Genomic DNA, 12522 nt, shown 5'->3' with positions numbered 1-12522 from the left:
TACTTGGGAGGCTGAGGCAGAAGAATCGCTTGAACCTGGGAAGCGAAGGTTGTGGTGAGCCAAGATCATGCCACTGTACTCCAGCCTGGGCAACAAGAGCAACACTCCATCTCAAAAAAAAGAAATTTAGTTTTTTTGGTTTCTGAGATCTCAGTTTCGGGTCACTGTATCCTCTGCCTCCTGGGTTCAAGCAATTCTCCTGCCTCAGCTGCCTGAGTAGCTGGGAATACAGGCATATGCCACCACGTCCAGCTAGTTTTTGTGTTAGGGGTCTTGCTCTGCCACACAGGCTAAGGTATATTAGCATGATCACACCTCACTGCAGCCTTGACCTCCTGGGCTCAAATGATGCTCCCACCACAACCTCCTGAGTAGCTGGGACTGCAGGCATGCACCACCATGCCCAGCTAATTTTTTAAAATACCTTTTGTAGAGACAGGATCTCCCTATGTTGCCCAGGCTGGTCTTGAACTCCTGAGCTCAAGTGTTCCTCCTGCCTTGGCCTCTGAAAGTGCTGGGAGTAATAGACATAAGCCACTGCATCCAGCCAGAAATTTAGTTTTGATACAATATTATTTCATAAGCCTACGTTTATATTTAAATTTCATTGATTTTTTTTTTCATAATTTCTTTTATAGCAATTTTTTTGTTTCCTCAGGATCCATTCTGGAGTCATACATTACAATTAGTTTCATGACTCTTCTGGTCCCTTTTTTGACTTTTTTTTTTTTTTTTTTTTAAGAACACAAGCCAGTTATTTTCTAGCATGCTTTCTGTCTTTTAAATTTACATCTTAGAGATTTATAAAGAGGGTAACCATATAGTTTATTGTCTAAACTACGGGAGTGAAAGAGGGAATTAATAATTACATCAGGATAACAGGGAAAAAAAAAAGCATTATCTCAGACAAACCAGACTATATAGTCATTGCACTTATGACTTTTTGGAGGAACTGGAGCCATAGTTCCCTGCTGTGGAGAATAAATGTCAATAACATGGTATATTTTCATGAATTATGAAAATGTTTAAATATCCTTAATGGATAATTAAGAGATAATTGACCCTGTCATGTAAATACTGCAAAATAAAAATTACAGATTAATTCTAAAATTAAAATTTTTTTAGGCCGGGCACAGTGGCTCATGCTTATAATCCCAGCACTCTGGGAGGCTGAGGCGGGTGGATCACCTGAGGTCAGGAGTTCAAGACCAGTCTGGCCAACATGGTGAAAGCCTGCCTTCTACTAAAAATACAAAAATTAGCTGGGCGTAGAGGCAGGTGCCTGTAATCCCAGCTACTCCGGAGGGTGAGGCAGGAAAATTGCTGGAACCCGGGAGGTGGAGCTTGCAGTGAGTCGAGATTGCGCCACAGCACTCCAGCCTGGGTGACAGAGTGAGACTCTCTCTCAAAAATAAATAAATTAATAAATAAATAACTTTTATAGCTGGCTTACTAGCATTTCTTTCTTTTTTTTTTTTTTAAATTTTTTATTTTGAGGTGGAGTTTTGCTCTTGTTACCCAGGCTGGAGTGCAGTGGCCCGATCTCAGCTCGCTGCAACCTCTACCTCCTGGGTTCAAGCGATTCTCCTGCCTCAGCCTCCCAAGTAGCTGGGACTACAGGCATGCGCTACCATGTCCAGCTAATACTGTATTTTTAGAAGAGATGGGGTTTCACCATGTTGGTCAGGCTGGTTTCAAACTCCTGACCTCAATTAATCCACCTGCCTTAGCCTCCTAAAGTGTTGGGATTTACAGGTGTGAGCCACTGCGCCTGGTCTGGATAGCATTTCTACACAGCAAATTAAATCACTGAATTGCCTTGGCATGCCTTTTTGCAACACTGTTTTGAAAGGTACGTAGTAAATCATATCTGTTAAATGTATTGTCTGTGCTTTTAACATTTTGTAATAGTAAATAGATGTATCACTTAGGATTGATGAGACCAGTAACTGCTTAGCTTAGTTATTTACTTCTTAAAATGTTGTTTTTATTTCAGCTGGCTGCATAATGACTTAAAAGTGGCCCTTATAGGCAGTCCAGTGGACCTCACTTACACATATGACCACCTGGGAGACTCCCCCAAAATTCTTCAAGACATTGCTTCGGGAAGCCATCCATTTAGCCAGGTGCTCTCAACTTATGTGTATCTACTCTTGTTGATTTTTAATTATTATTATTTAAACTTAACTGTTTTTGTAATAATCCTATGTAAGTGTTAAAACTTACACCAGGTTGGGCGCGGTGGCTCACGCCTGTAATCCCAGCACTTTGGGAGTCCGAGGCAGGTGGATCACCTGAGGTCAGGAGTTCAAGACCAGACTGGGCAACACGGTGAAACCCTGTCTCTACTAAAATACAAACCAAAGTTAGCGTGCGCCTGTAGTATCAGCTACTTGGGAGGCTGAAGCAGGAGAATTGCTTGAACCCAGGAGGCGGAGGTTGCAGTGAGCCAAGATTGTGCCACTGCACTCCAGCCTGGGCAACAGAGCGAGACTCTGTCCCACCCCCAAAAAAACTTACACCAATACAGAAAAGAACATGAGGAAGAAAGTAAAACATTACCTAAAATTCCACCACCCCAAAACAGGTATTGATAAAACATCATAATCTCTCCATTTATGTAGAGAGCAAAGCAAGATGGATGAATAGTCAAACAAAAATGAGATCATACTGTACATGCAGTTTTTATTTGCCAGAGTTTAATTTTCTTGAAATTATCTGAAAAGAAATCAAAGTAAACCTGAAAGAATTGCACTTTTAACTTCATTTAAATCTTTCTTTATTACAAAAGGAGTTATTCCTTAAAATTTTACCAGTCCTTCTATTTTTGTTTCTGAGGTACATGTTTTTTTCATTTGAGTTCTTTCTTTAATTCATTTTGTTGTTGGCTTTATTGTTTTGCTTTTCCCCAAAGGTGGCTCATGGTTGCCTGTATTCCTTGAGTTCTTGCTTGCTTGAGAATGTCTATTCCTGAAGAGACAGCTTGTCAGGATGTGAAATTCCAGGGTCAGACTTTTTTTTCCCCCCTTTCTGAGCTTTATAGACACTGCCTTTTGTTAGTGAAGAAGCATGTAAACTTTATTCCTCCGCCCCGCCCCAAACCCTGTCCTGATTATCTTTTTTTTTCTTTTTCCTTGGCGGGGAGACGAAGTCTCGCTCTGTCACCCAGGCTGGAGTGCAGTGGCACGATCTTGGCTCATTGCAACCTCTGCCTCCCGGGTTCATTCTCCTGCCTTAGCCTCCCGAGTAGCTGGGACTACAGGCACGCACCACCACACCTGGCTAATTTTTGTATTTTTAGTAGAGACGGGGTTTCACCATATTGGCCAGGCTGGTCTCCAACTCCTGACTTTGTGGTCCACTCGCCTTGGCCTCCCAAAGTGCTGGGATTCTGATTATCATTCTTGAAATTCAGTAACTTCACCAAAATATGTCTTAAAGGTGAAGACATCACTATAAGACTATAGGACAGAATGTACTTTCAGTCTAAAGATACAAGGTTCTCTTTATTTTAGAATATATGTGTGGTGGTGGAGGTGATTAAAAAACTAAGGAGTTGGCCGGGCATGGTGGCTCACATCTGTAATCCCAGCACTTTGGGAGGCTGAGGTGGGTGGATCACCTGAGGTCGGGAGTTTGAGACCAGCCTGACCAACATGGAGAAACTCCGTCTCTATTAAAAATACATAATTAGCTGGGCATGGTGGTGCATGCATAATCCCAGCTACTCAGGAGGCTGAGGCAGGAGAATCGCTTGAACCTGAGAGGTGGAGGTTGTGGTGAGCCAAGATTGCACCATTGCACTCCAGCCTGGGCAACAGGAGTGAAACCCTGTCTCAAAAAAAAAAGAAAAAAAGAAAGAAACTAAGGAATTTCCGGCCAGGTGCAGTGGCTCACACCTGTAATCCCAGCACTTTGGGAGGCCAAGGTGTATGGATCACCTGAGGTCAGGAGTTCGAGACCAGCCTGGCCAACATGGTTAAACCCCGTCTCTACTAAAAATACAAAAATTAGCTGGGTATGGTGATGGGCACCTGTAATCCCAGCTACTCGGGAGCCTGAGGGTGGAGAATCGCTTGAACCCAGAAGACGGAGGTTGCAGTGAGCTCAGATCATGCCACTGCACTCCAGCCTGGGCGACAGAGCGAGACTCCATCTCAAAAAAAAAAAAACAAAAAAAAAACCAACAACTAAAAACTAAGGAGTTTCTGTTTGTCACACAAGGGGGTCTGGAGGTAGGCACATTGAAAGCTGATGCAGGCTGGGTGCGGTGGCTCATGCCTGTAATTCCAGTACTTTGGGAGGCTGAGGCGGGCGGATCACAAGGTCAGGAGTTTGAGACCAGCCTGACCACCATGGTGAAACCCCGCTTCTGCTTAAAAAAAAAAAAATACAAAAATTAGCCGGTTGTAGTGGCCTGTAATCCCAGCTACTTGAGAGGCTGGGGCAAGAGAATCACTTGAACCCAGGAGGCAGAGGTTGCAGTGAGCTGAGATTGCGCCATTGGACTCCAGCCTGGGTGACAGAGTGAGACTCCATCTCAAAAAAACAAAAAGAAGAAAGAAAAAAAAAAAAAAGCTGATGCAGTTGTCCAAGCATATCATCAAAGAGAGCCTGCCTTCCTGCTTTGCTGTCGTCAGTGCATTTGCTTGCTCACATGTGATTGTGTGTGTCCTTCTCCTTGTGGTTCCAAGATGGTTGCTTCACTTACAGTCTCAGGTGTAGGGAAGAAGGTGATGTGCAAGAGGATGAAGTAGCAAAGCACAACTTGTTTATTTTGAATAGAAAAAAAATTATGATTAAAAGATCAAAAATATTAAAAAATATTCCGTGAAAAGTCTTCCTTTCTCCTCTCTAATTCCCATCCCCATGTGATAGGTGACTACTATTTTGAGAGAACGTTTCCTTTTCTTTTTTTCTTTTTTCTTTTTTTTTTGAGACAGAGTCTTGCTGTGTCCCCAGGCTGGAGTGCAGTACGGTGGCATGATCTCGGCTCACTGCAACCTCAGTCTGCCAGGTTCAAGCGATTCTTGCCTCAGCCTCCCGAGTACCTGGGACTACAGGCGCACGCCACCATGCCCAGCTAATTTTTTTATTTTTAGTAGAGACAGGGTTTCACCATGTTGGCCAGGATGGTCTCAATCTCCTGACCTCGTGATCTGCCCGTGTCGGCCTCCCAAAGTACTGGGATTACAGGCGTGAGCCACTGTGCCTGGCCTGAGAACGTTTTGTTCTATAATAGATTTAAATACATTTTTCATTAATTCTGTTACCTTCATTAAGAACTCTTGATGTGGTGGCTCACACCTGTAATCCCAGCACTTTGGGAAGCCAATGCAGGCAAATCACCTGAGGTCAGGAGCAAGACCAGCCTGGGCAAAATGGTGAAACCCTATCTCTACTAAAAAATACAAAAAAACCCCAATTTGCTTGGCATGGTGGCGTGTGCCAGTAATCTCAGCTACTTGGGAGGCTGAGGCAAGATAATAGCTTGAACCTGGGAGGTGGAGGTCACAGTGAGCCGAGATCATGCCACTGCACTCCAGCCTGGGCAACAGAGTAAGACCCTGTCTCAAAAGAAAAAAAAACAACTCTTGACAATGCAGTTGTCGAATCTTCTTTTCTATATATGTATTTTTAAGGTCTCACTATGTTGCCCAGGCTGCAGTGCAATGGCAGAATTGTAGCTGACTGTAGCCTCAAACTCCTGGGCTTAAGCAGTCCTCCCACCTAAGCCTCCCCTGTAGCTGGGTCTGCAGGCATACACCACCATGCCCAGCTAATTTTTATATTTTTTTGTATAGATGGGGCTCATTGTGATGCCCAGTCTGGCCTCAAACTCCTGGCCTCAAGCAATTCTCCCACCTCAGCCTTCTAAAGTGTTGGGATTACAAGCATGAGCCAACCTTGCCTGGTTTTTCATATCTGTGTTTTTTTCCTTTTTCCATTTGTTTTGTATCCTGTACCCTGTCTTTCCTGTCCTTGTATTTAATCATGTTTTCTTTCTTTTCTGTCTTTTTTTTTTGTTTTTGAGATGGTCTGGCTCTGTCACCCATGCTGGAGTGCAATGGTGCTGTCTTGGCTCACTGCAGCCACCACTGGGACCACAGGTGCACACCACCATGCCTGGCCAATTTTTTGTAGAGACGAGGTTTTGCCACGTTGCCCAGGCTGTACTTGAACCTGTGGGCTCAAGTCATCCACCCACTTCGGCCTCCCAGAGTGTTGCGATTACAGGCCTGAGCCACTGCACCTGGCCTGTTTAGTTTTTTATTGTTTCTGGAATGGTATTTATTACTTGTTTGTCTTCCAGTTCTATCCTGAATTCAATGATGAAAATCTCCTTACTATATAATACTCTACAGTGTTGCTTCTTTGAGTTTTTAAGTGAGAAAGAGTGTGTTATTTTTCATTGTCTTTGAGACTATTAAAAACTATTTCTCTCAACTATTCACATTTCCTTGGCAAATTCCTCTTGTGATTAATGTATTCCTCTTTATAATATATCAGCATAATTTCCATGCTGATTCTTTGATTGTGGCCAGCTATTTATTGAAGAATGACACAAAGGATGGGTGGGAGAATGAGACGTGTATTCTATAACTTTACACGTTTTGTTTTGTTTTGTTTTTGAGACAGAGTCTCACTCTGTTGCCCAGACGGAGTGCAGTGGCACAATCTTGGCCCACTGCAACCTCCGCCTCCCAGGTTCAAGCAATTCTCGTGCCTCAGCCTCCTGTGTAGCTGGGGCTACAGGTACATAACACCGCACCTGGTTAATTTTTTTGTATTTTTAGTAGAGACGGGGTTTCGCCGTGTTGGCCAGGCTGGTCTCGAACTCCTGTCCTCAAGTGATCCACCCACCTCAGCCTCCCAAAGTGTTGGGATTACAGGCGTGAGCCACCGTGCCCAGCCTATAACTTTACATCTTATTTGCCCATCTTCTGTGAAATTTGTAGTTTCCTTTACTCTTGGGATGCATTCTCCTAGTTTTTGTCATTTAGAGTTACTATGGTTTAAAACAAAGCCTTAAAATTGTAGGTATTTAACATTGTGATCTGGTGATCATTGCTTTCCCTGCCTCCTCCTCCCTATCTGTGGCATGGTAAGTAGATGGAAGATAGTAGGCATGATACTTAAGCATAGTTTTTCCTATTCTTTAATTAACATCTGAATCTCTGGAGAGAAGTTCCCCAATTTTTCTGGGACCTGCCCATAGTTATTCTGACCACAGGATAATTTGCTAGGCTTTTTATTCTGAATAATTACTTTTAGAAAACGTGTTTTAGCTGATACTCAGGCATATTTCACAGTAGCATTGGCAAGATGCTTTGGATTAAACTAAATCTGGTTGTATATGTGTGTCTGTATGTTGGGCTAACAAATTGAAGACATTCATGTTACACCTAAGACTTGGGACAACCTATATTATAGAGGCAAATATGGTTTGGTGTTCAGCTTACTTGTAATATTTTAAAATCAAAGTTGTTTTTTTTTTTAAATAGGTCCTAAAGGAAGCTAAAAAACCAATGGTGGTTTTAGGCAGTTCTGCACTCCAAAGAAATGATGGAGCAGCAATTCTTGCAGCTGTTTCTAGCATTGCACAAAAGATTCGGATGACTAGTGGTGTTACTGGTGATTGGAAAGTTATGAATATCCTTCATAGGTTTGTTGAGTAATTGCTTTATATACTATAAATTCAAGTAATGTTGTGTATATGTATGTGTTCCTGATACACTGTTAAATTTAATTTACAAACAACATTTAGCAACATTATCCCAGTTACACATGTGAAATATAGACCTTTACTCTGTGTGAGAAGAGCCCGAGATGATAAGGAATATTTAAAATATTTGAAATAACAGTGAGTGTTGAGAAAAAAAGTGAAGTACTATAAAAATTGTTATATTAGTTACACCTTGGTTCAAAAATTGCAACAAGTTCTTTAATTAAATGATAAAAATGTAAGCTAATATGAGAATTCAGCTAAAGGATTTCTTTCTTTCTTTTTTTTTCTTTTTAATTATTTGGCTTTTTGTTTTGAGACAGGGTCTCAGTACAGTGGCATGATCATAGTCCACTGCAGCCCTGACTTCCTGAGCTCCAGCGATCCTCCCACCCCTGCCTCCCAAGTATTAAATGGCTGAAGCTACAGGCGCATGCCACATGCCCAGCTAATTTTTTGTTTTTGTAGAGATAAAGTCTCACTATGTTGCCCAGGTTGATCTCAAACTCCTGGGCTCAGGCGATACTTCTGCCTCAGCCTCCCAAACTGCTGGGATTATAAGCGTGAGCCACTGCACCTAGCCTTTATTTCAAACCATATCAATAATGCAGGTTTAATTTAGGTAAGTTGAAAAGAGACAGATATGTGCAGAAATGGAACTGATCCTTATTCTACAATGTGTAGATAATTATTACTATTTTCATGCATTTTCTTCTAGTTTTTTTCTTTACCCTGCGTAATATTTTATTTTATTTTTTTGAGACCAGAGTCTCACTCTGTTGCCCAATCTGAAGTACAGTGGCATGATCTTGGCTTACTGCAGCCTCCCCCTCCCAGGTTCAAGCGATCCTCCTGCCTCAGCCTCCCAAGTAAGCTGGGACTATTGGCATGTGCCACCACACCTGGCTAATTTTTTTATTTTATTATTATTATTATTATTATTTTTGAGATGAAGTATTGCTCTGTCACCCAGGCTGGAGCACAGTGGCACGATCTCGGCTCACTGCAACCTCCATCCCTGAAGTTCAAGCAATTCTCCTGCCTCAGCCTCCTGAGTAGCTGGGACTACAGGCGCGTGCCACTATGCCAGGCTAATTTTTTGTATTTTTAGTAGAGACTGGGTTTCACCGTGTTAGCCAGGATGGTCTCGATCTCCTGACCTCAGGCGATCTGCCCACCTCAGCCTTCCAAAGTGCTGGGATTACAGGTGTGAGCCACCACGCCCGGCCTAATTTTTTTGTTTTTAGTAGAGATGGGATTTCACCATGTTCGCCAGGCTGGTCTCAAACTCCTGACCTCAGGTGATCTGCCACCCTCGGCCTCCCAAAGTGCTGGGATTACAGATACGAGCCACTTCACCTCACAGCTGTGTAATATTTTTTAGTTACATAGGTGAAATTATACTGTGAATACAATTTTGTGTCCTGGTTTCAATAGGTTTTCATTGCCAAATGAGAATTTCCTACTATGGTCAGAAATTTTTTTCTAGAAATTGTTTGTAAATAAAAATGTTAATGGCTAATTGATATCATGAATATACTATAAATTTTTTTAGCCATTTTCTTCTTTTTAACATGTATGTTGATGGTAGTTTTTAACTTCTTAAATAATACAGTGATTCACAGATACCTTTGCACTTGAAATTATCTTCTTAGGATATATTTCTAAAAGTAGAACTATTGGGGCACACAGGATAACCATTTCTGAGCCTTTCGAAGCATGCTTCCAACTTGTTTTAGGTCCTCAGAATGGCTACTATTTCTAGATAGTTAACAAATACCAAGCTAAACCAAAACAACAACCCTGCTATTCAAAGTATATTTATTCCAGACCTCTTCTTTAAAAGATTATTTTGTGCTTATAAGAGTAATATATATTCGTAGAAAAAATTTCTATAAGGTTTTGGTTTTCTCATTATGGTTTTTGCTGAATTACAGTTTAATGAGTGGTTTTCAATTTCTCCCTTTTCATTTTTGAAATAATCTGATTTTTCTTCTTTGAATATATATGACTTATCATGTTTTATGTCTTACTTTATTGAATAAGAATCAGACTTAAAGCAATTACAGTTGGCATAAAATTTCTAGAATTATTTCATTCAATACTATGTCATGGAGAGACAGAGCGTCCTAAGAATCTGACATTTCTTTGGTTGCCATTCTCAAAACAGTAAAAGACTGCTGTTTCTGGTTTTAGCATCTATTTTAAATGGGTAAGAATGGGATTTTTTGGCCAGGTGTGGTGGCTCACACCCGTAATCCCAGCACTTTGGGAGGCCAAGACAGGTGGATCACCTGAGGTCAAGAGTTCAAGACCAGCCTGGCCAACATGGTGAAACCCCATCTCTACTGAAAATACAAAAATTAGCCGGGTGTGGTGGCATGTGCCTGTAGTCCCAGCTACTTGGGAGGCTGAAGAAGGAGAATCGCTTGAATCCAGGAGGCAGAGGTTACAGTGAGCCGAGATCACGCCACTGCGCTCCAGCCTGGGCGACAAAGTGAGACTCTATCGCCGAGAAAAAAATAAAATAAAATAAAATGGGTTTTTTGACATTGTTGAAAGGAAATTATTCCAAAAATCACATTTAATTTTTTACATTGAAAATACTGCAGTTATGGTAAAATTCCATAATTGCTTTGCAGGATTGCAAGTCAAGTAGCTGCTTTGGACCTTGGCTATAAGCCTGGGGTGGAAGCAATTCGGAAGAACCCTCCCAAGGTGCTGTTTCTCCTGGGAGCAGATGGAGGTTGTATCACACGACAGGATTTGCCAAAGGATTGTTTCATTATTTATCAAGGTAAGTATCACCTGTGACACCAGAAACAAAAGAGAGTAGTACATTATGTATGTTAGAAACCATTTAGTAATATATTTAGTGAACTGAATGTTTTCCATTTGAGAATTTTGCCTCCCCCACTCCTCCTCCTTTTTTTTTAAACAAACCACAAGTGTTATTAGTTACATAATTGATACTGCTTTTAAGAATTATTACCTGCCGGGTGCGGTGGCTCACACCTGTAATCCCAGCACTTTGGGAGGCCAGTGCGGGTGGATCACCTGAGGTCAGGAGTTCAAGACCAGCCTGACCAACATGGTAAAACCCTGTCTGTACTAAAAACATAAAAATTAGCCGAGCGTGGTGGCGGGCGCCTGTAATCCCAGCTACTCGGGAGGCTAAGACAGGAGAATCACTTGAACCTGGGAGGCAGAGGTTGCAGTGAGCCAAGATCATGCCATTGTACTCCAGCCTAGGCAATAAGAGTGACATTCCCTCTCAAAAAAAAAAAAAAAGTTAAACCAAAATATATGAACTAAATCCTGTTCCTTGGGTGCCGTGGCTCATGCTGTAATCCCACCACTTTGAGAGGCTGAGGCAGGAGGATTTGTTGAGCCTAGGAGTTCTAGACCAGTCTGGGCAACATAGGGAGACCCTGTTTCTACAAAAAATTTAAAAATTAGCTAGGCGTGTTGCTGCATGTCTGTGATCCCAGCTACTTAGGAGGCTGAGGTGGGAGGATCACTTGAGTTCAGGAGTTTGAGGCTGCAATGAGCCATGATCACGTCACTGCACTCCAGCCTGGGTGACAGAGCAATAAAAAATGTTATTTTTAATAAAATTAAAAACAAAATAAACTAAAATCCTGTTTTTAGTCCTTTAAGAAATAATCATTGTTGAGTTTTGATATGCGTACTTCATAACATCTTCATACGCATATACAAATGTGCACAAATTATATTAAACTATATATTATTCTACGATTTTCTTACACTTGATTCAGATGTTTCTAAAGGTCTTCTTTTCTGAATAACTTTTTTCTTCTGCCAGTTGTTATTAATGGGTGGCAGTGTTTCCAAATTTTTCTGTAGTTTTTCGTTTATGCCTTTTTCAGTATTACTGTCATATTCCTGTCTTTGCATCCTCCCCCATTTCAGTCTACTTTACCAAATTTCACAAACTGGTACATCTGAGCAGTTCTACTTTGTAAGCATCAGTATACTTACTTGGCTATTTTATATGTGTGTATTATATTATACATATTTGTATTTGCATAAAATAGTCTGAGAAGATACTTTTTTTTCTTTAAAAAAAAAATTTTTTTTTTTGAGATAGAGTCTCACTCTGTCACCCAGGCTGGAGTGCAGTGGTGTGATCTCGGCTCACTGCAGCCCCAGCCTCACGGGTTCAAACGATTCTCATGCCTCAGCCCTCTTGAGTAGCTGGGATTACAGGCACACACCACCACATTGGGCTAATTTTTTTGTATTTTTAGTAGAGATGCAGTTTTGCCATGTTGGCCAGGCTGGACACAAACTCCTGGCCTCAAGTCATCTGTCCACCTTGGCCTCCCAAAGTGCTGGGATCACAGGCATGAGCCACCACACCTGGCCCCCAAATGCTTTAACAATAATTTTCTTTGGGGCCGGGCGCGGTGGCTCATGCCTGTAATCCCAGCACTTTGGGAGGCTGAGGCGGGTGGATCACAAGGTCAGGAGATCAAGACCATCCTGGCTAAACACGGTGAAACCCTGTCTCTACTAAAAATACAAAAAATTAGCTGAGTGTGGTGGCAGGCACCTGTAGTCCCAGCTACTTGGGAGGCTGAGACAGAAGAATGGCATGAACCCAGGAGGCAGAGCTTGCTGTGAGCCAAGATTGCACCACTGCACTCCAGCCTGGGCGACAGAGCGAGACTCCATCTCAAAAAAATAATAATAATTTTCTTTGGGAAGGGAGTTGAATTAGGGTTGAGGTGGGCTTTAATTTTTATTACTTCACTACTGTTTCATTTTAGTTT

General features: G+C 41.8%; 1 protein-coding gene across 5 annotated transcripts in view; it reads left to right on the top strand.

Annotated features, from left to right (window-relative positions):
- NDUFS1 (NADH:ubiquinone oxidoreductase core subunit S1) overlaps positions 1-12522 on the top strand; it is a 44628-nt gene that overhangs the window by 18834 nt on the left and 13272 nt on the right. For all 5 annotated transcript variants that reach the window (NM_001199982.2, NM_001199983.2, NM_001199981.2 and 2 more), the window contains 3 exons: positions 1997-2126; positions 7506-7666; positions 10369-10523. In NM_001199982.2, the coding sequence (NP_001186911.1) occupies positions 1997-2126; positions 7506-7666; positions 10369-10523 (446 nt within the window). The remainder of the gene's footprint in view (positions 1-1996; positions 2127-7505; positions 7667-10368; positions 10524-12522) is intronic.

This window comes from Homo sapiens, chromosome 2 (assembly GCF_000001405.40).
Source record: "Homo sapiens chromosome 2, GRCh38.p14 Primary Assembly".
Lineage (NCBI taxonomy): Eukaryota > Metazoa > Chordata > Mammalia > Primates > Hominidae > Homo > Homo sapiens.
The sequence above is the reverse complement of the archived record's forward strand: the minus strand, read 5'-3'. Positions and strand labels throughout refer to the sequence as shown.